Below are 25,631 nucleotides of genomic sequence, written 5' to 3'. Positions count from 1 at the left end.
CTTTGGGGACTTGAGGGGGAAGGGTGGGAGGGGAGTGAGGGATAAAAGATTACAAATAGGGTGCAGTGTATGCTGCTTAGGTGATGGATGCACCAAAATCTCATAAATCACCATTAAAGAACTTATGTAACCAAATACCATCTGTTCCCCAAAAACCTATGGAAATAAACAATTAAAAAAAAGAATTTCTTTATGCTCATGGGCCAGGGAAACATATTTTTCAATGGGGCTTGGGGAAAAAAAGATTGTTAAATTTTACTATATGTGTCAGAAGACATATTAAGGCACATCAAGAGAATGAAAACGAAAGTCACAGACAGGGAGAAAATACTTGTAACACATCTAACAGACAAAGGGCTCATATCCCAAATATAAAAAGATCTACAATTCAATAAGAAAAAAAAAAAGCCAATCCAATAGGAAAATGCAAAGACTGGAACAGACAATGCATGAGAAAGAATATCCAAATGGCCAATAAATATACGTAAAGGCATTTATACTCATTAGTAATCAAGACCATGCAAATTAAAACTCAGTGAGGGCCAGGCATGGTGGCTCACACCTGTAATCCCAGCACTTTGGGAGGCCAAGGTGGGAGGACTGCTTGAGCCCAGATGTCAAGACCAACCTGGGCAATATAGCGAGACCTCATTTCTACAAAAAATAAAAAAATTAGCTGGGTGTAGTGGCGCACCTGTAGTCCCAGCTATGTGCAAGGGTAGGGTGTGAGGATTGCCTGAGTCCAGAAAGTTAAGGCTGCAGTGAGCCGTGATCACGCCACTGTACTCCAGTCTGGCATGATCAGAGCAAGACTCTGCCTCAAAAAACAATAAAAATGAAACAAAACAGCAACAACAACAAAAACCCCAGAAACTCACTGACGTAAAACTATATACTCATCAGATATATCACTCGCTAAATTGTATATTTATCTTTATACAAATACTGTATTTCTCATCATATGATTTGTAGTAAAAATGATCCATTAAGTATAAATATGTAAAAAGAATTTATTTGCGTTCCTGAATAATTTCCAAATAAATAAAATTGCATTTGAGGGAAAAATCTTTGATATGTTGCAAGCCATAATCGGTGAGAAACAGAACAGGGTTCACTCCTCTTAACCTTTATCAGAGGTTAAAGAGAACATTGCCAGGAGGCCTTCACACTTCTGAATGGGCATCATTTTTTAGGTCTATTTTTCCATGATTTGGAGTAAATGATGTAAAATTAAAAATTTATTACTCTTAATAGGCTTTATACTAGATCTTACTGCAAAAGCTATGGTTGCATAACAGACTTCTTTAAATTCTCTTGCTATAGATGTGTTAGATAATAGAATTGTTCTAGATTACCTACTGGCTGAAAATGCAAGAATCTATGCAGTTGCTGACATTCTTGTTGCATGTGGATGAATACACAGACATTGCAGAGACTTGGTTGCAGGGGATTAATGAACAGGCTGCTCAGTTAAAATTAGTAGTCTCCTCATTTGGCTCTTTCTTTGATCTACTTGATTTCACTTGGTTTGGTTCATGGGGACCCTGGCTAAGGACCATACTCCAAACTCTTGGACCTCCTGATGGTCACGATAGTAGTTTCCCCAGTGTGCTGTATTTTCTTGAAAGTTGTAAATATTTGCCCACAGCTATCTATAAAATGTCAAATTGTTTCTCTTAGACTGGAATGACAAAAACTCAAAGAAATGCATAACCACAAGGGCACCATAACCTATGAATGACATGCTGAGACTGGAAACCCAAAATGATGGTAACAAAGTGGTGGTAATGCCTTACATTTTTGTCACATTCTCACCCAGGTAAGAACCTGACCAAAAGGGGGGAATTGTTGAACAAAATTATGAGTAGCCATTATTTTGGACTGAGCTTGTGCACGAGGCCCCAACAAACCAAACCAAAATGTAGTCACTCATGCTAAATGTGATGTAATCAAATGGAAACTTTGAGGAAGCAGGTGCATCCTAAAATAGATCAGTTTTTTTTTCCCTCCTGAAAACAGGAGATTCCAGCATAATAAAGAAGTCTCCTCTAGCCCTTACAAAAAAGTAGGCTGAAGTAGCCTGATGTTAATCAGTTTTTTTTCTATTGTTCTGTTTATTCCCACCTTACAAAATCCACTGTTAGTGGGATTTGAGACCAAATAAGTCCATTTATGATGGTGACAGAGTGATATCAATGCCTAAAGTTTTCAAAGGGGTCAAAAAATCTCTAAAAAAAATCAGTTTTGAGAGGTTAACCAAAAGGTGGAATTGCTAAATTAAGTCAAGCCTAAAGCTGCCTCCTTATATATTTTAAGTTCAGCTTAAAGGGTTCTCCATATATAGTGAACTGTAACCTAGCTGAATGTGTAAACAGACTATAACCTACCTCTTATACCAACCACAGAGTTTTGGCCAGTCAAAGGGGCCAACTGTTCAAACTGTATTTGAATGAGGCAAATGCTGAGCTATAACGAATCCAACTGTTTCTGTACATCATTTTCCTTTTTCTGTCCATAAATATGATCTGAAACATGTGGCAGTCCTGGAGTTGCTCTGAACCTAGTCTAATTCTAGGGGCTGCCCAATTCTTAAATGGTTCTTTGCTCAATTTAACTTTCTTAAATTTAATTTGTCCAAAGTTTTCTTTCTTTTTTTTTTTTTCTTTTTGAGACAGTCTTGCTCAGTCACCTAGGCTGGAGTGCAGTGGTGTAATCTTGGCCCACTGCAACCTCCACCTCCTGGGTCCTCAGCCTCCCGAGTAGCTGGGACTACAGGTCCACACCACCATGCCTGACTAATTTTTTTTTTTTTTGTATTTTTAGTAGAGACAGGGTTTTGCCATTTGGCCAGGATGGTTTCAAACTCCCGACCTCAGGTGATCCTCCCACCTTGGCCTCCCAAAGTGCTGAGATTACAGGCGTGAGCCATTGCTCCTGCCTGTCTGAAGTTTTTCTTTTGGCCAGGCATGGTGGCTCACACCTGTAATCCCAGCACTTTGGGAGGCCAAGGCAGGTGGGTCATTTGAGACCAGGAGATCGAGACCAGCCTGGCCAATATGGTAAAACCCCATCTCTACTAAAAATACAAAAATTAGCTGGGTGTAGTGGTGCATGCCTGTAATCCCAGCTACTCGGGAGGCTGAGACAGAATAGCTTGAACCCAGGAGGTGGAGGTTGCAGTGAGCTGAGATTGTGCCACTGCTCTCCAGCCTAGGTGACAGAGCAAACTCTGTCTCAAAAAATAAAAAAAAAAGTTTTATTTTAACAGATAGATTGTGTATTATGACTGTTGGTTCAGGGATTCTGATCAATAGTTACCATAGTCCTGAGGATTATGGCCTGGTCTTCCCACACAGAACAATTTCTCCACCTGGAGTAGTGAAGTTGGAGCACAGTATGAGGTGTTTTTAGCCACAAGAGGGCAAAAGTCTTGGACATGAAATTTTTGAAATGGGTACAAGCTGGAACCTGCACCTGTGCCGCCTATAACCTAAGACTAAGTGAAAACTTACACCGAAGCCAATGACAACATGAATGGTAAATGAACATTTAAAATAGTTTTTTTGGTTATAAGTTTTGTAGAAGACATCTTATCTGTGTTGCTAAAATACCTGGTATTTTCCTTTTTCCCCATTGATTTTTATTCTTTATTTCCTCAAGGCCTATAGTTTTGTATAGGCTTCAGAACAAACACTAAGAAACAATCTGGTGTTACTCAGGGTGGGTGGGGATATGATGAAAATACTGCTTACCTGGATATGGCTGTTCCTACAGCCCGACTCAGAAGTGATGACAGAAATAATGACGATAATAGCCACTTTAAAAGTGATTTGGCAGCAGTTTTATTTGTTGTGCTATAAAATGGCTGGCCCATGGCTGTATATGTAGATTCGGGAGTAAACTTTCAAAGCATACTCAGGAGGCATGCATGGTAATCCCATTATCTGATAACAGGATTTGTGCACATACCTCCCACATGCACCATCAGTAACCCACCCTTTTAGTATCGCTGTGAAATGCAATTTGTGTGCAGATGAAAAGTTTACAGAACATGGGCCTGTGCCATGAAGCTCAACAAAGCCAGCGCACTGTGTGGCAAGGTTTCTGAACCCGACCCCTGTCGTTCCTGCTGTCTCCCTCCTTATTGATTTCTGTCCCTTGGCCAAGCGGGCTTTGTGATCGTCTGCATCGACCCAGAAACTTGCAAAATGAGCTAATCAAATAGGTGCAGCAGAAATCAACCCTGAATTTCTAGGAGGCTTTGGAGACATGCCACACACAGGATGTGGGAGATGATCGGGTCAAGTAAGTGTTGGCAGAATGTACGGGGTGAAGAGGCCAAATGACATGGATTTTGGTTAATTACTTTGTGGAAACATTCACATAAATAGGTGAAGTCAAAACTAGAGTAAATGCGTGATAAAATAACACATAGGCAGTGCTTTAAAAATAGGATCCTGATATTCATATTTTACGGTTTTGGTTCACACATGTTCTATCTTCCTTTTTTCAGAGAGCTTACCATAACTGGCACATATCTTCACATAAGCATCATATAAAGAGCAGCAGATGTTAGTGACAGAAGCTGCGTGCAAAATATGCAGAAGAATATCCTCATTACTTCTATTGCTTACAAGTAAGGAAATATAGATTCACACTTTTCTTTTTTAGATAAAGGGTTACATGGTAAATTTATATATTGATATGTGAATTTCTTGATTCTTCCCAACAGGCCAAACAAAAAATTATTTTAATTGAATGTATTTATGTCAATCATTGCTTTTAATAAAATATGATTGTATGTGGTTTAAAAAATGTACAATCATCCAATGTACATATATTAAGCAATGAGCATAGAGCAAATGACTTTAGTTAGGGGAAATTCTATATCCTAAATATAGTATGAAATATGAGCATAGGAACTCTGTGGATGCCTGGTGGGAAAATAGGTTATTCTTTGTTTTTTATTTTCTTTCCGTATAAATATTGCAATAAACTTGGTTATTTCTTTAAATAAATACCTGAGAGGATACTGACTGGATATGCATTGAATCTGTAGCTGTATTAGGCAAGGATTGAAATCTGAACAATATAGAGTATCCTGATCTGTCAACTCAGTACATTTATGTAGTTCTTTAATTTTTCTTCGTAATGTTTTATGCTTTTTAGTGTGCAGCTTCTACACTATTTTTTAGGTTTATCTCTAAGTAATTTTTTTCTTTTTTTTTTTTTTGAGACGGAGTCTCGCTCTGTTGCCCAGGCTGGATGGAGTACAGTGGCACGATCTCGGTTCACTGCAAGCTCTGCCTGCCAGGTTCACGCCATTCTCCCATCTCCCAGCCTCCTGAGTAGCTGGGAGTACAGGTGCCCACCACCACACCTGGCTAATTTTGTTTTTGTATTTTTAGTAGAGACAGGATTTCACCATGTTAGCCAGGATGGTCTCGATCTCCTGACCTTGTGATCCGACCACCTCGGCCTCCCAAAGTGCTGGGATTACAGGCGTGAGCCACCGCGCCCAGCCTAAGTGTTTTTTTTTTTTTTTGATGCTACTGTAAGTAATTCTACTTTAAAATTTCAATTTCTAAATCTTCCCTGCTATTATATAGAATGCAATTGATATTTTAAAATATTTATCTTATATTCTGAAACCTTACTAAACTCATGGTTTCTAGTCTTTTTAAAAAATAGATTCTTTAGGATTTTCTACATAGAAAATTATGGTTTCTGTAAATAGAGATAGGCTTATTTCTTTATTTGTAATTTGTATGTCTTTTGTTTCTTTTTCTTGCTTTATTCCACTCAATCTGCACTATGATATGGAATGGAAATAGTGAGAGTGGACATCCTTGTGTTGTTCCTGATCTTAAGGGGAAATCATTCAGTTTTTAATTATTAAATATAATATTAATTTTAAGTTTCTTTTGTAGATGTCCTTTATCAGCTCCCACCTTAAAATAGAAAAAGGGATACCAGGTGCAGTGGCTCATTCCTGTAATCCTAGCACTTTGGTAGGCCAAGGCAGGAGGATTGCTTGAGCCTAGGAGTTTGAGAGCATAGTGAGACCCCATCTCTCTCTCTAAAAAAAAACCAAAAAGGAATAGAAAAAGAAGAGAAATCAAGCCCAAAGTGAGCAGTGAGCAGAATAACAATAAAGTTAAGAACAGAAGTCAGTGAAATAGGAAACATAAAAACAATAGAGAAAATCAATGAAATCAAAAGTTGGTTAATTGATGAGATTAGTAAAGCTGGTAAACCTCTAGCCAAACTGATTGAGGAAAAAAAAAAAAAGAGTGAAGACACAAATAGCCAATATCAGGTATACAAAAGGGACATAATTACCAACGCTGCAGACATTAAAAGGATAATAAATATCACTTGCAACTGTAAACTTATAAATTTGACAACTTAAATGAAATAGGCAAATTTCTTCACAGCTTAAAATTCAAAGCTTATGAAAGAAGACACAAATAACTCAAATAGTCCTCTACCTATTAAAGAAATTGAATAATTGTGAAAAAAAACCCACAAAGAAAACTTTTCTATTTGTTCTTGTGTCACTTTTGGTAAATTATATTTTCTAAGGAATTTGTCCATGTGTGTCACTTAAATTGTCAAATTTATTGGCATAAGTTATCATATCTTTTAAATTAATTTTAAAATGTCTATAGTATTTGTAGTAATATCTCCTCTTTCATTCCTAGATTTTATGATTTGTGTGTTTTATCTTATTTCTATATTGTACATGGGTTTTCTACTAGATCAATTTGTTTTTATGTTTATTATTTTCATCTTTCAATTTTCTTTGGGAATATTTTGCTGTTCTTTTCCTAGCTCTTTGAGAATAAGTGCTTAGATAATTAATTCTTAATCTATAATATATGTATTTAAAGCTATAAATTTCTCTTGTAAGCCTGGTTTTGTATGTAGCCTACATATTTTGGAATGTGTTATATTTATTGTTCGATTGAAAATATTTTCTAATTTTCATTGTGATTTGTTCTTTGATTTTTAGATTATTTAGAACTGTACTGTTTAATTTATAAGCATATTGATATTTCCTACTAATCATTTTTGTTATTTATTTCTAGTTTTTTCCCTCTGTAGTCAGAGAATATATTCTAATTTAATATTTTAAAATTTGTTAAGATGTGATTTATGGTAGAACAGCCAGTCAACTTTTGTATCATTCTGTGTGTACAATTTGTATTCTGCATTTGTGGGGGTGGTTTTCTATTTATATTTACTAAGTTCAAGTTGTTAACCATATATTTAAGATAATCTATATCCTTACCCCTTTTTTGCCTGCCTGTCCTAGCAATACTGAGATAGGTATTTTAAAAAGCTCACTGATTATGGATGTGCTTATTTCTCCTTTTAATGCTGTCAATTTTTGCTTAATACACATTGAGGCAATGTTACTAGGTAGTTACAGACTGCAAATCACCATGTCTTCTTGGTGAACTGACCTTTTCTTTATTGTGAAATGTTCATTTTATTTTCAGTAAATTATTGTCTTAAACTTTATCTAATCTAGTACATCCCAAACAGATCAACCTTATATATAAAGATACAGAAATATTGAAAGTAAAATGGTGGAAAAAGATATATCTGGTTTCTTTTTCCTACTAAGCATTTCTGATAGTAGGTTAATATTTGCATGACATGTCTTTTCCCGTTCTTTCATTTTTAATCTTTCTGTACCTTTTTTTTTGAGTTGGGGTCTTGCTGTATTGCCCAGGTTGGAGTGTAGTGGTGCGATCATGGCTCACTGCAGCCTCAAACTGCCAGGTTCAAGAAATCCTCCTACCTATGCCTCCTGAGTAGCTATGACTGCAGATGTGTGCCACCATGTCTAGCTAATTTTTAATTTTTTTTTGTAGAGACAAGGTCTCAGTACATTGCCCAGGCTGTTTTCCAACTCCTGGTCTCATGCCGTCCTTCTGCTTGGCCTCCCAAAGCACTGAGATTACAGGCATGAGCCACCTCTGTGCATTTTTTAAAAATTTTCTTTTATAAGCAACATATAAAAGTTTTTGAAAATTCAGCCTGACAATCTTTGTTTTTTTTAATGGAAAGAATTTAATCTCTTTGCACTTAATGCAATTACTGAATAAGTATTTATGTCTACCACCTTACCATATGCTTTCCATTTTTCTCATCTAGTCAATGTTATTTTTCTCTCATCTTGCCTTAAAAAATGAGACTTTATTTTAGAATAGTTTTAGGTTTCCAGAAAAATTGAACAGATAGTACAGAGTTCCTATGTACCCCCAGTTTCTCTGATTATTAACATCTTACATTAGTCATTATATTTGTTAAAATTGATACATTGATATTGGTATATTATTACTAACTAAAGTCCACAGTTTTTCCAAACGTCCTTAGGTTTTACCTAATCTCGTTTTTCTGTTCCAGGATTTCATCCAAGATACTACATTACATTTAATGTTCATGTCTCCTGATTCCTCTTGATTTTCCTTGCTTTTAATGACCTTGACAAGTTTTGAGGCATACTGGTCTGGTATACTGTAGGATGCCCTCTGTTGGAATTTGTAAAATTTCAATATAATTAGAATAAATTTCACAAATCTATTGATTATGTGAAAGTTGTCAGAATCAAAATGGAGTCACTTGCATTAAAATTCCTGACAAAGAGACCCAGGGAAGGTCTCGAAGGGAAGTTTCTCAAGCCCAAATGCCTGGTAACAAGAACTATCACAGAAGACTGCAGAAACCACAACCTTGCACAAAGGCCATTGCAACTATACACAAAGAAGTACCCCTGTGAGGACATCTGCCCAGCAACTTCCTGTTCAACCTCAGACTAGTGCCACTCTTCTTACTGATCCTGTAGCCAAGGATAATAGTGTCATAACAATTGTATAATCCTCATTTTTCCTCTAAAAGCCTTTTTCTTCTGTTACTTCCCTGAATACTCATATGGTTTACTATGGGCTGCTTATTGCCATGGCAATGCTTATTCCCAAATAAACATCATTTTCTTTTAGAGAGTCTCCCTCTCTGTTATTTAGGTTCACAGATGTTTTTCTCACAATTAGACTGGGGTTATGGGTTTATTATAGAAGAGAAGTGCCATTTTCATCACACATAATATCAAGATTATCAATGTGATTTATGATGGTTGATATTGACCTTGATCACTTGGTTGGGTTACTGTTTCTTGAGTGTCCCTATCTTAAAAATACTCACTTAAATTTCCCTCTTCTAACTGTACTCCTTGGATGGAAGTTCCTTATACATAGCCCTTAAGGAGTGGCAAGTTTTGCTCCCCCTCCATTAGGGTGAAGTATCAATATAATACTTTTTCATTAGCGAGAAGGAGCTTTATTTCTTTGTGCAAAGGAGCACTTCAAGTCAAGCTAGCCAGTCGCACTTGGGCGAGTCCTGCTTTCACAGAAACTGGGGGTAGAAGAGGTACTTTCAGTTGTACTCAGTTCGGGCTAAGCAGTTAGCAATCTCCTGGTCACACTTGCACAAGAGCTTTTGGCATTTGTTCTCTGCTGGTCCAGTCAATGGCATCCCGGTGCTGGCCATGGCCTCCCAGGCCACAGTAGCAACTGTATTTCATATAGGTAAGTGGGGTTCAGGAGTCAATACAACCCACAGTTCCTGCCAGTTCCAGGATCCCACGTCGGTGCACGTGTGACCTCTTGGAGGCCTGGCGGGACCCAGGGCCAGATCCCAGCAGCAGCAGCAGCAGTGACAGCAGTGGCAGTAGTATTAATAACATGACTGGCAGGCACAGAGGTAGCAGCCCAGTCCGACAGTGGGAGGTGTGGAACGGTGTAGCCGGGCCAGTGTAGTCACCAAGCCTGGCCGAGCTAGTCACCATATCGGTATAATTTATTTGGAATTCTTTTTTTGTACTGAATATTTGTTTCTTTTCCTGTGTTTATTAACTTACTTAATCATATATTTATATCAGATCTGAGCTCATGGATATGCGTTTTATACTCTGGGCTCTAATCCCAAACTATTTATTTCATTGCTTAAATCCTTCTAGCTTTGGCCATTGGGAGCTTTTTGGTCCTGAGCCCCTTTGAGATACTCTCATTAATTTGTGTGTGTGTGTGTGTGTGTGTGTGTGTGTGTGTGTGAGAGAGGGAGAGAGAGAGAGAGAAGAAGAGAGACAGAGTAAGGGAGAGAGAATGCAGTTTCTTACTTGTAGCACTATAAGACACCCCAGGCTAATCTTGTGTATTTCCTGCCCCAGTCATAGTCACTCATTTCTGCAAGGAGCCCTGGTTCCTTTATTCTGGAGAATGATGTTGGGAACCAAGATCTGGGTGCTAGGTGTGTTCATTGCTATTGAGATGTAGTTTTTTTTTGCAGGCTTCTCACCTGACAGAGCAATGAAATATATGTATGTATACTACCTTGTATATATACACATATTTATAAATATTTCTATGTGTAACCATCTGTTTCCATATTGTTAATTATTAAAGAAGTTTTTACTGATGTTTCTAGTTTGAATCCATTACCACATACATCATTCTACCCCCCTCCTTTTCCTTATCTATAAATTCCTACTTCAACAGTGAGAAAACTGCCTCCTATCATCTGCTATCCATTTACTTAATTGTTCAATTCCTGTATACATGTATAGCAGTATCAGGCAGTACTAGAATTCTTAATCCATACCTCTATGGGGAAAAACTTTATCAACTAGAGTACTTCTGTATTTCCTTTTGCCTTGAGTCTTACAGATGCCATCAATGGCAAAGTGTGTTTTGAAGAGTTTTTAATTTTAATAAAGTCTGACTTGCTAATTTTTTTCATGGATTGTGCTTTTAGTGTTGTATCTAAAAACACACCACTAAACCCAAAGTCACCTCTATTTTATCCTATGTTATCTTCTAGAAGTTTTACAGTTTAGTGTTTTAATGTTTAGGTTTATGATCTGCTTAGAGTCAAATTTTGTGAAAGGTGTAAGATCTGTGTCTAGGATTTTTTTTTTTTTCATATCCCCAGTTGTTCCAGCACCATTTGTTGAAAAGACTGTCCTTTCTCCACTGAATTGCCTCTGCTCATTTTTCAAAGTTCTTGCCTTTTATGTTGATTAAGTATTTTTTATTATTGTAGTCCCCTCTTCCTTGGTTAAGTAATTATATATTATTTTATGACTTTTTAGTGGTTGCCATAGAGATAACAACATGTTACTCAATTTATTAAACATCCATGTAAATTGTCACTTTTGTTATTTCCCAGGCCAGTGGTTCTCAAACTTGAACATGCATCAGAATTGCCTTAAGGGTTTGTTAAAGCACAGATTGCTGGGTTCTGTCATCAGGGTTTCTGATTCAGCAGGCATGGGTTGAGGCATGAGAATTTGCATTTCCAACAATTTCCTAAGTGACACTGGTGATGCAAACGCAGACCTGGAGACTACACTTTGAGAACGGCTGTGTTAATCACAAACACTGAAAAACATTTTCATTCTACTTGTTCTGTTGACTTCTGTGCTATTACTGTCATATCTATATCTCTATCCCCACAAAGCAATATTCTTATTGTTTTATATTGTAAATATTCATTTATATTTACTTCTATATTATTTTCTCTTTTGGTTTTCATTTCTTCTTGCACCTTTGAGCTTCCATCTGGGACTACCGACCATTTACTTCTGCCTGAAGAATGCCCTTTAGCATTTCCCGTAATGCAGGCCTGTTAGTGACAAATTCACCCATACTTTGTAGGTCTGAAACTATCTTTCTTTTGCTTTTACCTTGGAAGGGTATTCTTGGTGAATATGAAACGCTACATTATTGTTATTTTCTTTTAGCACATGTCTTCTGACATTCATGGTTTCTGTTGAGAAGATGGCTGCTTATTTTACTGTTGCTTCTTTGAAGATAGTATCTCTTTTGACTGCTTTAAAAATTTGCTTCTTGTTTTTGGTTTTCAGCTGTTTTATGCTGATGTGCTAGGTTATAGTTTTCTTTGTAGTTATTCTGATTAAAACTTCTCGAATGTGTGGCTTGAAGTCGTCCATCAAATCTGTGTTATTATTTTTTTCCTTTTAGATGGTATTGTTGCCAGAGAATATGGTATTTATGATACTTATCCTTTGAGATGTGTTCAGACTTGCTGTGTGGCTGCGTTTAAGTGGTTGATTTTTGAAAACATTGCTTCTGTGTTGAGAAGAATGTGTATTCTCTAGTTGTTTAGGGGCACAATTCTAAATATGTTAATTATATTAATACCAATCCCTTTTTATGTATATTGTTTAAATATTGTTTATCTATATTAATTTCCTATCTTCTAAGCTGTCAATAATTACTAGAGGTGTGTTAAAATATCCTATAATGATTTTGAGGCAATTTTCTTATATATATATGGGTTTAAAATGTCTATAATCACATAGTGAATTGAAAACTATAATCAGTATATAGTACATTTCTCTATTTCCAGTAATGCTCTTTGTCTTACATTCTTTTTGAGACAGGATCTCACTGTGTCACCCAGGCTGGAGTGGACTGGCGCTATCTCGGCTTGCTGCAGTCTCTGCCTCCCAGGATCAAGTGATCCTCCCACCTCAGGCTCCCGAGTAGCTGGGACTACAGGTATTCGTCACTACACCTGGCTAATTTTTGTGTTTTTTGTGTGTTTTATCTAATATTAATGTAGTGGCCTCTGCATTATTTTGATATTTGTCTAGTATTTCGTCTTCGTATTTTTAACCTTCCCACATTTAAAAAGTATGAATATGATAAACAGTATAGCTATGTTTTCTTTTTTTTAAAACTGGTATTTAATTCTTTTACATTTGGTGTGATTATTGGTATATTGGGACTTGTTTCTATCAATGTAAAATTTCCCCTATTTGTTTCACTCTTGTTTCTTGTCTTGTCTTTAAAAAATTAATTTAGCTTTTTTGGTTAAATTTTTTTCTTAACCAAATGTTTCCCCTTTACTACTTAAACATAATACACTATTTTCTTTTAGTACTATTGAAATCTTATCAAACATGTTAAATTTAAGTAAGATTAAAGTGAATCAATAAGTTAAATGATCTGAAAAATAAAACGAATCTTATAACACTTTTCAGTCAGCTACCTACTTCTGACTCAAATGCTATCGAAAGCAAAAACTTTAGTTCTATACCTTATTTTTTAAACCCTGTAAATTATATCTCCTTCTTGTCCTCACCTTCTTTTTTCTACTTCTTCCTCTTTGTCCTTATTTATCTCTTTTTCATACATATTATGTCATCTTAGAATTATCTACATTTGTACCAATTTTTTCTTTCTGCATTTTAGACTTTTGCAATAATTTTCTTCTATTGAAGGACATCTTTTAGAAGTTTCTGTGAAGATCTGTTGATGCCAAACTCTAGTTTTTTGTTCAACTAAATATGTCTTTATTTTCTTACTATTTATGAAAAGATGGTTTTGCTGAGTCCATAATTTTAAGTTGACAGTTAATTTCTCTAAATATTTTAAAGTTATTAAACCCTTTCTTTTATGTTCTATTGCTACTATTGCGATGCTAATCATCATTCCTTTTCCTTCAAGTTACTTTTTTTTTGAGACGGAGTTTTGCTCTTGTTGCACAGGCTGGAGTGAAATGGCATACTCTTGGCTCACTGCAACCTCTGCCTCCCTGGTTCAAGCTATTCTCCTGCTTCAGCCTTCCTGAGTAGCTGGGACTATAGGTGCCTGCCACCATGCCTGGCTAATTTTTGTATCTTTAGTAGAGATGGGGTTTCACCATGTTGGCCAGGCTGGTCTCAAACTCCTGACCTCAGGTGATCCACCCGCCTTGACTTCCCAAAGTGCTGGGATTACAGTGTGAGCCACTGTGCCCAGCCTCAAATTACTTTTAATATCTTCTTTTTGTTTTTTATGGTCTGCAATTTCACTAAAATGTGTATCTTTATGGACTTCTTTTTACTTATCTTGCTTATGATACATTGATTTTCTTCACTTATGAACATATGTATTTCATCAATTCTTTTTCTTTTTTTTTTTTGAGATGCAGTTTCACTCTGTCTCCTAGGCTAGAGTGCAGTGGTGTGCTCTCGGCTCACTGCGACCTCCAACTCCTGGGTTCAAGAGATTCTCCTGCCTCAGCCTCCTGAGTAGCTGGGATTCCAGGTGCACACCACCACGCCCAGCTAATTCTTGTTTTTTTTTTTTTTAGTAGAGATGGGGTTTCACCATGTTGGCCAGGCTGCTCTCAAACTCCTGGCCTCAAGTGATCTGCCCACCTCAGCCTCCCAAAATGCTGAGATTATAGGCATGAGCCACCATACCTGGCCTGCATTTCATCAATTCTGAAAAATTCATTTTCTCCTCAAATATAGCAGCTCTCAATTTTCTCTATTCTCCTCTCAAGGACTCTGACTAGATATATATTAAAGCCTTTTATTCTATCTTCCATATCTTTTAATCTATCTTAATATTTCCTCCTTTTTTTCTCTATACTGGATCCTGGATATTTCTTTCAGATATATTATCCAGTTCACCAGTTCTTTCTTCATCTACAGCTAATCTGCAACTTAAACTATTTGTTAAACTTTCTTTTCCAACTATTATATTTATTTCCAAAAGTCCTTTTTGTTTTTATTTTTCAAATCTGCATATTTTTGACAGTCTCTTAACAATCATTTTATGAACACATCTTTCATTATTTAAACAGTTCATAGATTGCAATTTTATATTCTGTATCCAACAATTCCAAAATATGAATGGCTTAGGGGCTTAAATCTATTTGTAGTTACTGGTGACTTGTAATAAGGGTGACTTCTTTCAATGTGTATTTGCTGATTTTGGTTTTGAGCTCATATTTGTTTCCTTTTAATCTGTGAGAATCCTGTGGGAATACATAGGGGATAATTTTCTCCAGAAAACACTTTGCTTTTGCTAGGAAACAGGGGAAATACTGACCTGGAATACTTTAGTGTCCTTTGAGAATGTTAGCTTAAAGTAGTACTTTCAGATACAGTTCCTCTATTTGCTTCTAGCCCGAGAGTTAGTTCAGCTAACACAGCTCTGATATTAGCTTTTGTCTTTAGGCCAGCCCATTTCCCCCTTTTATTATTGCTCACCGTCTTGCCTTTTGAAAAGTTTTTTTTGAAGGATATTGAAGATTTCCCCTTGTCCTTACTAATTCAGAAATGAAATAAAGGATGATTTATCCAGGATCTACTTGTTTTTGAGGGGCAGGATCTTTCAGAATATTTAATCTCTTTTACGACCGGAAGCAGAAATCTGAGGCCCTTTTTTCAAGTGTTTCTTTAATAAGGTTTAAAATATTTACAACTGGTTCTTCAGATGAATTTAAACAAAGTAATTAAGTAACAAAACCGATCTTACCATGATCAAACAGTGTTCCTTATAGCTCCAGTTTTATGATCTCCCCATTCACTTTATCTTGCATGAGGAATGTAAACTTGCCATGGAAGGCTAGATTTAGAATGTTCAAATGAGCAATTATCTTTTAACACCAACACAAGTCATGCATACAATTTGGCAGATTGAAGATTACATACAGAAGAGACTTGAAGTTCCTTGCAAAACAAATAGAGGAGTGAGAACATTACTGAGTGAAAGCCAATGAGCTTCATTTCTTTAAAAAGTTAAAAAAAAAAGGTAAAGAAATCAGTGGCTTGACACTAAAGAGACTGACAGCCTTTAAAGCTTTAGAAATTTTTTCTCGTAAACCTTTATACATATCCAGAGTATCCAAATCTTTTCTGTGAATACAGCGGCATGTAAAATTTGCTTTCAATGTGCAAGGTTGACTCTATGGAAGGTTCATGGCTATTTCTGAATTCTAAAATTAAAGTTAAAAAACAGAGTATAAAAGATGGACTATCAGTGATGTGTAAACTATAGGCTCATCCTAAACAATAATCTTGGTGAGATCCTGCACTTGATATTCATATACCAGTTATATTTCCTACACTATGGAATGTATTCTTTGCCGTGTGTGTATCAATTTAGAAAACATCATATGAAGCCAAGTAGGAGCTGTGGGTATCAGAGAAAAAGAAGCTTGCTATCTGTAATTGGACCACAGGGTCTTGAGAAAGGGTCTTGCACTGTCACCCAGGCTGGAGTGCAGTGGCATGATCTTGGCTCATTGCAGCCTCAACCTCCTGGGCTCAAGTGATCATCTCACCTCAGCCTCCTAAGTAGCTGGGACTACAGGTGCACGCCACCATGCCTGGCTAATTTTTTGTAGCGATGGGTTTTCACCATGTTGCCTGGCTATTCTCAAACTCCTGGGTTCAAAAGATCCACCCACCTTGGCCTCCCAAAGTGCTGGGATTGCAGGCATGAGCCAGTGCATCCGGCCTGCAGTTGTTGTTTCTTGACTAATAAACAAGTTTTGGTGTGCAGAGCTTTGATCCCCACTTACGTTTTGAAGTGCCTTTTCAGTTTTCATATGATGAAATTTATGTTCACTTCTCTGCCCTGAGTCTCAGTTACTTCCCTAGACGATGAAGAGTCAAGACCATGGATTCTCTCAGGTGCACTGAGTTTGGTGTGCTGTGTGAAGCCTGGTGTGTGTGTTGGGATTCACCACAGCCTCTTTTTATTGGCATACTAAACGTTTATACTGTGGCAAATGGGAGGACAAGTTCCTCCACCATGGACCTAAACAGACTCAAAATAAATAAAGCTTTGCTTCTTAAATACTGTCTTATCTGTAGATTATTTTCTCTTTGATAAAAATATATTTTTTTCAAATGACAGCCATTTTCATGTGTCGTTCCTTCTTAGAGAACATTGAGTTACCTCCTTCGAGCAGCCATGATGTTGGTGGCTTCATCCATCCCCCTTTTGGCAATATCCTGGACAATAAAGCAGAAAAATGGAAGGAAATTAATACTATGGTGACACTGTGGGGGGTCTCTATATCAACCCTTGCTTGAAGCTTGAGCTGAATTTTCAGTTATATGAGTCAATGTACTCATGTATTGTATAAGACAGATTTTGGGTTTTAGTCGCAGTTAAAAGCATCCTAATGAAAATATCTCTTGTTAAAGTATAACTTGAACATATGACTCAGGTGAAGATTTATCACCTCTGAGGGAAACCAAATTTAGGTTTCACTCCAGGTTGGAGTGCCGTGGTGCAACCTTGGCTCACTGCAACCTTGAACTCTTGGGCTCAAGTGATCCTCCCTCCTCAACCTCCCAAGTAGCTAGGACTACAAGCACCCGCCACCATGACCAGTTAATTTTTAAATGTTTTGAGAGATGGGCATCTGGCTACGTTGCCCAGGTTGGTCTCAAACTCCTGACCTCAGGTGATCCTCCTGCCTCAGGCTCCCAAAGTGCTGAGATTACAGGTGTGAGTCACCTTGCCTTGCCTGAATACACTGTTTTGACTTTTGAGATTAAAACGGAAGTAAATGAAATAAACTCACGACAATGAGCCAATGGCCAGCACTGTTATAGATCAATAACACAGGTTTCAACTCTTTGGAGGGAGAGTAACTAACTTACTTTCTGCACCTAACTTTCTGTATCACATCATTCTTTTCTTCCTGAGCTCAAACTCTGTCTCAGTAGCTTTCTGTAGCAGCCCCTGCGGGCACATAAGATAACATCTATCTGTGCTCCTTATCAAGCCATTCTGTCTAGTCCTAAATGTCAGAATAGGTACTAACACAGCTTTGGGCTTTGCAAGAAAATGTTCTCATCTTTTATCATCAGTTGGAAAGCTTTGGGGGCAGGAGAGACAAGAAGATTCATTCATTATTTTCAACACATATTTAAGTTTCTATATAAAACAAGGAGTGAGGTTCAATCCACAAAAGTTAATGGAAAAGTAACATCGAATTTCATGGTTGGCAGAGGTAAAGAACCACAGTTCCTAAGACACCGGCAAGTCAATTTAGGAAAGAAAAATTGCAGTGCCCACCTTCTTCCACAGAGGGGCACTCCAAGCTCATCACTGAAACCGTGCACTGTGTTGTTTTCAGTGAGCGGTTGTAGAAAAAGAACTTCCAATCTTTTCTCCATGCCTAGGGATTATTAAGAGCGTAGAATTTAAAGTACATTTGCAGGGCTCGATGTGAATGAGGCAAAACCATTTCAGTATCAATCCCAGTGGTGCCAGCAACCCATTCTAAATTAACTCAGGTTTAAATATGTTACAGAAATGTGTTAAATTTGAGAACAAATTTCACTTAGGATCTGTGGGTCTCTGTTACACAAAAGATGGAATACTTTGGAGGCAATGCAGTTCTTATTTAAAGCTAAAATATGGCTTATCATAAAACTATAGTCAGCCCGCTTCAAACACTCATGTCTTCACCAGAATGGGCAATATAGAATGAAAATTACACCTTGAGTAAACAGAATTGTAGATAAATGAGTTATGTCTCAAGACGTTTTGAATATTTTTATTATTGTGTCTGGGCCAAAAGTCTTTCCATATGTCCAAAGGCCCCGTGGCATTTCCAAATCAGCCGTGGGTGACGGTGGGACCGCGGGGCTCGTATGATGCCAACGCAAGCGTACCGGGTGGTCCTCATAGTTTGTTACATTCCAAAATGCAACCATTAAAGGGGCGGCCCTTACCTTCCCTAGTGAATACAAAAAGCCTTTGGAGACCAAAGGGCTGGAATGCTGGGGCAAACGCCACCCCACGTGCTGACCCCTTGGCCAGAGCCGAGGCGGGCGGCCTGGAGTCCCCAGCGCGGAGCCCCCAGGTTCCCAGGAGCTCGGGTCGCTCTCCGCTCTCCGCCCCTCGCCCGGGCCCACGGAAAGGGCTAAATGGCTTGCGACCAAACAGCGAATTTAAAAGGAAGCTTTCACGAAAAGCCCAAGGGAGCGGCAGCCCAGATTGTGTGGAGGGCAGAGCCGCGGGTTCCGAGGGTCCCCGGGGCGAAGCGGGCAGGGGCGCACCTCCGGGCCGCGGGCAGATGGAACCCGGGCTCCCGGGCCGGCGCGCGGGGGGCGGCCGCCTAGACATCCTCTCATTCGGCTGAAGTTTATTCTGGGCCACCGAGAGCTGGAACAGGAAATGTTCCGTCTTTCATGTCCACCGGTGGGCTTCAGACAGTTTTGCACCTCCCGGCGAGCACTGATTAGCCGGCTGAGTTCTGCCGCATTTGAAGTTCACCATTTATTATTAAAGAGAAGTGGCAGTGATTAGTGCTGGGTCCTCGGGGAGTGGAATAAATATTTACTAAATAAGAACGTTCCGCCATAAAGGAACGGCTCGAACAGGTTTCTGAAACCCCGGCGCGGGCCCCAAGTGCCGCCCCCAGGCAGGAAGCGGCGTTGCGGGGCTTTCCGCGAGAGGCTGCCATCTGCAGACCGTGCTGGGCGGCGACCTCCGCGGGGCAGGGCTCGGCCCGGCGCAGCCAGGGCCCGACGAAACTCGGCACTCTGGGCGTTTAAGTTATTTTATAGGCTGTGTTTGTTTTATAAAGGCAGAGGTGAATGTCAAACTAAACTTCGAACCTTTCTTTAATTTAAGGAACAAAGTAACATTTTATCGCTCAAGTAAGGGGACTGTGTTGCTTCCAACGTTAGGAGCATTTTCCAGTATGCTCCAAAGTGTACCCAAATTGTGAGCATCCAAGAAAGCATATTTATGTATATTTCAAAACATTATGTCATACAATGTAAATTATACAGTTTTTATTTGTCAACTGAAGAATAATAGTAAAAAAAAAAGTTTATTTAGTTTATTTGGCAATTAACTTACACGATGGCATCCCTGTCAAAAGCATTCATGTTGGTTGTTTAAAAAGCGTTTTCCTTAATTATTAGAATAATACTTTTACTGTAGAAAATATGAAATTTGCATATATCTAAACATCAGTATCACATGCTTTTTTCCATCATATTTTGCAGTGGGAATTGTCCAATGACATTACATATTTTTAGGGACAAATTTAGTGTCTATATCCATTTATTTAACTTACAGTGAATTAATAAACATTAAGGTAGTTTCAAGTTTTCCTTATTATAATAGCTCAATTAATATTTTTGTATGCAATTCTACACTTGTCTGATTATTCCCTGGCACCATTTTATTTTGAATTTCTTTTATTGTAAGTTGGGTTTAATATTATATTGCGAATAATTACAGAGAAGGGCCAGTTTTTGCTCATCACCATGTACCTGGTGTCTTGTATTATGCTGAGCACATACCAAATGCCCAATAGATATTGATTGAATGAATAAAAGAATAAAAAGTTAGTAGAACATTTGAATTTCTTGTTTTGTGAATTGCTTAATATTATTCATTTATTATGATAAGTTATCTTTTTCTTATGAATTTATAAGCTGTGTTTTAGGTAATAAGGATTTAACCTTCGGTTTGTCGCACATATGGCAAACCTCCCTCCCGTCTACAAAGCATAAGTTTGTGTGTATGTGTGTGTGTTTGGGTACTTTTTGACTTCTAGAAGTTAAAAAAAATTTCATAAGGTTATATTTGGATGATACTCTTTATCACACATGCAAGTTAAATGGCTATAGACAATACTCTACAATCTGTTTTGTGGTATTTTTACATATTTTGGACAGCACATTTTCATTCTTCTATTTATCAAGTTTTTCCCTGGACTTGGAATTTTTTTCAGGATATAACACATGGAGTAAAAAGGTAGTACAATCTTAGTCTTAGTCTGACAAGCACAGGATCTTGAGCCTGGTATCATACCAAAGAAAGATCTGTCAATTTCCCAAACAACCTTTAATTTACCTTTTTCTGATTCACTATTATGAAAGATATGAATAGAAAAAAGATCCCGGTTTTTAAGGGGTTTTCTGTATGTATCTCCTTCCAACTGAATGTGTAATTCCCTTTTATATCTCACCTGGTTTTGGTTGAAGTGACAAGTTTTGGGGACCATGAGTTGGAAATGGGTATAATTATTTGACACAGCAACAATGAAAAACTTTATGAGTATGGATATTCTATTGGTTTGTCAGGGCTGCCATAACAAAACACTGCAGACAAGATGGCTTAAACAATACGAACGTATTTTCTCACAGTTCTGAGGGCTAGAAGTCCAAGTTGAAGGTGTCAGTAGGTTTGGTCTATTCTGAGGCCTCTCTGCTTGGCTTGCAGATGAACTTCTTGCTGTGTCCTCAGATGGCCTGTTCTCTGTTCATGCATGTTTTGTTGAAATTTCTTCTTTTTATGAGGACCCAAGTCATATTGGGTAAGCACCCTTTAAACATCTGATTTTAACCTAATGACCTCTTTAAAGACTTTATCTCCATATATTGTGAGATTTGGAGGTACTGAGGTTGGAACTTCAACATATTCATTTTGGGGGCATGCAATTCAGTCCATAACAGGTATCTAATGGAGAGAGAGATTATGCCTTAGATTTATTTTTAAAAAGATAAATATTACCAGAAATAAAAGCATGGTACAGAAGTTAAAAACTAAGGCAATGCTACAGGATTTAAGTCACAAAAGCAAACAGGATTTCACTTTCCGTGTACTTTTTGTTAGGTTAGGCTTGAGGCCTAGTGGTGGGAAAGAAGCTTGCTTGAAGTAGACTTTTTTGCTTACATCAAGACCTCTTTGGGTTTCTTGTGGCTCTGCTTCATTTCTGGTTTTACTCTAGACATAGGGCAGTCTCTAACTGGGACACCGTTGCTTTTGTGACTAGACCAAAAACAGCCTCAGTGAACCCCAAACTTATAACTTCAACTGAGAATGATATACGTCACTTGGAATTGTTTCACAATTAACTTATTCCATTCAATAAGCATTTAGCAATTGCTTTTGGAGTTATTCGTTTGCCTTTTGAAGATGCTGAAGGAGGCCAGGAATATCAGTGAGAAAAAAGAGGAGAGCTCTTAGCTCAATCAGGTTCTTTTTAGTTTACTACTATTTATCCTTCAAGGCCCATTGAGTTCCTGGAGTTTTCTTGGATAACTCCAGTCAACACTGACATGCTTCTTTCTGCCTACTTTTCATTCATGGATTCATTCCATAAATACTTATTGAAGCCAAGCGTGTGTAGTGGACAAGACAGACATGGTTTGTGCTTTCATGGAGTTGACTTTCTAGTAGGAGGAGACAGACACTAAATAACAACACATGTAAATCTGACCATTGCAGATGGTGAAAAGGGCTGTGAAGAAAAATGTCAGGTGAGATGCTGGAGTGTGTGAAGCTGGGCTGGGAGGCTGATTGGTGCTGGGTAGGGAAGGCCTTTCTCAGTGGGTTACACAGGCGCTGGGATCTTACTGAAAAAAGCAACCAGCTGGGTCAGGAGAGAGACTGCAGTCCCCAGGCCCTAAGTTAGGTGACAGCTTGGCTGATGGAGGACTAGGCAAAGGCCAGTGTGTCTAGATGCTAGTGAGAGTGGAGATGTGTGGGGGAGATGGGGGTCTCGGAAGTCAGCAGGGCCCAGGGCAGCTAAGCCTTTGTGGTACCTTGGCAAGGAGTATGTCCTCCGACCCCCACCCACCCACCAAGTAAAATGGGGAGTCATGAGGTTTTAAACTCCACAGTGACACAGTGGCAAGTTCTGGTTTATGTTTTTAAGCAATTACTCAGATTGCTGTGTGGCAGATGGACAGAGTGTAGTGAGGAGTGGGGCAGAGAGACCAACTTAGATTGTGGCATTTGATCATTTTCAAGCCAATGTTCTGAGGGGGCCCCTAGGTAGCAGATCACAAGCACCTTTAGGACAGAAACATTCTGTTTTCTCTTCTTCCTCTTCTTCATCTTCCTTCTTTCTTTTTTGTTTTATTACTCTTGGAGGCTTTAACAGTGTTAGCAATATAATGGCTCAATCAAAACTTGTACTGAGTTGGGCAACCCTCTGCCAATTAATGCCGGAATTTTTTGGGTATAGAATTGGCCCTGAGTATCTGCCACTTGCCTTGAATGTATGGAATCAAATTCTTTTGGTGATTTCAGCTTCTTGGAAAAAGGTAACTGCATAATGAAGAGGTGGTGTTTTCTTAACATGCATTTACTACAATGACTATTTTCTCCGTGTTGAAACTAGTCATTGTTGCATATTTAATATAGTAATTGAAAGATTGGAGGCCTTTTGTAGTTATATGGAAAGAGATTAGTCATTTCATCTTGTGAATTTTTCTTCATTCCTCAGTAGGAATGGTTAGCCCCTGGCCTTAAGCCATTTACCCCACTTTTTTTTTTTTTTGCTAAGTTTCTACTTGGTGAGGTTGGAAATCTTAATTTTAAAAAAGTCTTTCTTTAGTTGACACACTATAAATATTCTGCCTTTTGGCATATTACATTTATATGGTTATAATTCTGGAGTCTCCTAATTCATTAACTATAGAGGTGCTTGAGAAGGTATGGAGATGTTCACAGTAATCACTTGTGATGTTCAGCTGCAGCTGACTGTAGGTGAGGGAGGAAGCCACTGCTTGGGAAGCGGAGGCAAGGGGGAAGTTAGAGGCTTGTGGCAGCTGCTAACAGAATTGAAGTGCAGCAGTCACAGGAAAATTCAGTTAGGAATTGGTGATCCCTGCTCTGGCTGGCTTTGAGGTTGTATCTGTTTGGATCACAAAAGAAAAGAGAACCTTTCATACCTATCCTACCCCTAGAGCAGCTAAGAGTACAGACCTAAGTTGGTACTCTTTACTGTGAACCTTGGAGAAATTCTCAAGCTCATTAAGCTTCAATTTCCAAAGCTGCAATATGAGGATAATCATAGTACTACCTCATAGTGTCTCTTTGAGGATTAAATGAGATAGTATAGGTGGAGTATTCAGCATATTGGAAGTGCTTAGTAAATATTAACTATTGTTATTAGTGATGTTTTCTTATTATAGTAATGATACCTTTTCATTATAGCTAATTAAGAAAATACAGACATGCAAAAGGAAATAAAATTATACATAATCCCATAATCCAGAGATAAATAAAGGTGCTCTACTGCCAATTGTTTTCTCTGCAAATATTGTTATCTCACAAAATTTGATTTTATTCTCTAATATCTATCATTAACACTGCAGATTGTTCTATGATGTCCTATAATATCACGACTAGCTGAATAGAATTTCATTGTATAGATGTACCATATTGTAGTTTATCCTGTCAAATCCCTTTTATTTGACATTTAGGATTGTTTCCAATTTTTTCATTACTGCAGGGAGTACTGCAATAAATATCCCTATATAAACTTTTTGGCACATATCTACGATAATTTCCTTAGGCTCAATTACGGAAGTGAAGTTGCTGGTTGAATAATATCTATGCTTTTAGGATTTTGGATTCCTATTACCCAACTAGCCACCAGAAAGTTGTTAAAATTTATATTTTAATCAGCAGAATACAAGAGTATATGTGGCCCTGCACCCTTACCAACATCAGGCATTAGTTTTGGAAACAAATTTTCATTAGTTCATGCATTTTTTTTTTTTTGAGGAGTCTTTTGCCCAGGCTGGAGTGCAGTGGAGCGATCTCAGTTCACTGCAACCTCTGCTCCTGGGTTCAAGCAATTCTCCTGCCTCAGCCTCCCTAGTAGCTGGGATGCAGATGCATGCTACCATGCCCATCTAATTTTTGTATTTTTAGTAGAGATGGGGTTTCACCATGTTGGCCAAGCTGGTCTTGAACTCCTGGCCTCAGGCGATCTGCCTGCCTTGGCCTCTCAAAGTGCTGGGATTACAGGCGTGAGCCACCGCGCCTGGCCTTCATGCAATATTTTTTGAGTGACAACTATAGACCAGGCATTATTCTAGGCATGAGCATTTAGTAGTGAACAAAAAAGACAAAAATCTCCCTGCTTTCAAGGAGCTAACAGAGTGTGTTAGACAATGTTATGGAGGAAAAGAAAACAGGACAGGAAGATAGAGTGTCTGGTTTGTGAGGTGGAAGGATGTGCTGTTTCATCTAGGGCATCAGGGAAGCCCTCACTGAGAAGGTGAATGTGTGCACAGACCTGAAACAGAAGAGAAAATGGGCTCTCAAGGATCTCTAGGGGATCAGCTTTCCAGGCAGAGGGAAGAGCAAAGGCAAAAATGCTGAAGCAGAAGCATTCTTGGTATGTTCAAGCTAGGAGCCCAGTACAGCTGGGGTGAGATGCACAAGGAGGGAACAGAAGGCAATGAAGTCAGAGAGGTGATGGGCTCAGGTCATGTTGGGATATATCTGTCTATATATCCCTACAAGATAAGTATATATATATAATATACTTATTATTGTAAGTACTCTGACTTTTGCTCTGTATGAGATGAGGAGTCATTGGAGGGATTAGAGCAGAGGAAAGGCATCATCTAACTTATGTTTAAAAGGCTTATTCTGGCTGCTGTGTTGAGAATAGATTGAAGGGAGATAAGAGTGGAAGTAGTAGGGGTCTGCCTAGAAGGCTATTGCAGTAATTTAGAAGAGGGGAGATGGTGGGTTAGGCTAGGGTGGTAGCGGAACAGTTGATGAAACGTCATTCAAAAGTAGATGCAGTAAAATGACAGGATTTTCTAATGAGAAACAGAGACGAGGCAAGGTTTTTGAACTGAGTAGTTGGAAGTACTGCATACCATTCGCTGAGATGAGGAAGACTGCATGAAGAGCAGGTTTGAGGGAAGGCTGGGAGCTCAGTTTGAACATGTTACCTTTGAGGTGCTTTTTAGACATCCATGTGGAGGTGTTTCATGGGGAGGGGAATACATGGACCTGAAGTTCAAG

The 25,631-nt window shown here is 38.3% G+C and overlaps 1 long non-coding RNA gene across 1 annotated transcript, besides 4 other annotated features; it reads left to right on the top strand.

Moving 5' to 3' along the window:
- The first annotated feature begins 1,687 nt into the window (after positions 1 to 1,687).
- Positions 1,688 to 8,624, top strand: LOC107986054 (uncharacterized). The gene is made up of 4 exons (XR_001740577.1): positions 1,688 to 1,819; positions 3,357 to 3,537; positions 4,514 to 4,636; positions 8,419 to 8,624. It is a non-coding gene; the product is annotated as an uncharacterized LOC107986054 (long non-coding RNA).
- Positions 17,971 to 18,020: an enhancer, noted in NCBI's record as "active region_20881". NCBI's record gives its function as "activates an Ori minimal core promoter by ATAC-STARR-seq in GM12878 lymphoblastoid cells {active_cell/tissue: GM12878}" and the evidence as "EXISTENCE:reporter gene assay evidence [ECO:0000049][PMID:35858748]".
- Positions 18,865 to 18,934: a silencer, noted in NCBI's record as "silent region_14931". NCBI's record gives its function as "represses an Ori minimal core promoter by ATAC-STARR-seq in GM12878 lymphoblastoid cells {active_cell/tissue: GM12878}" and the evidence as "EXISTENCE:reporter gene assay evidence [ECO:0000049][PMID:35858748]".
- Positions 19,145 to 19,194: an enhancer, noted in NCBI's record as "active region_20880". NCBI's record gives its function as "activates an Ori minimal core promoter by ATAC-STARR-seq in GM12878 lymphoblastoid cells {active_cell/tissue: GM12878}" and the evidence as "EXISTENCE:reporter gene assay evidence [ECO:0000049][PMID:35858748]".
- Positions 19,345 to 19,414: a silencer, noted in NCBI's record as "silent region_14930". NCBI's record gives its function as "represses an Ori minimal core promoter by ATAC-STARR-seq in GM12878 lymphoblastoid cells {active_cell/tissue: GM12878}" and the evidence as "EXISTENCE:reporter gene assay evidence [ECO:0000049][PMID:35858748]".

This window comes from Homo sapiens, chromosome 3 (assembly GCF_000001405.40).
Source record: "Homo sapiens chromosome 3, GRCh38.p14 Primary Assembly".
NCBI classification, from domain to species: Eukaryota; Metazoa; Chordata; class Mammalia; order Primates; family Hominidae; genus Homo; species Homo sapiens.
Note: the sequence above shows the minus strand (reverse complement) of the source record. Positions and strands in the feature narration are given on the sequence as shown.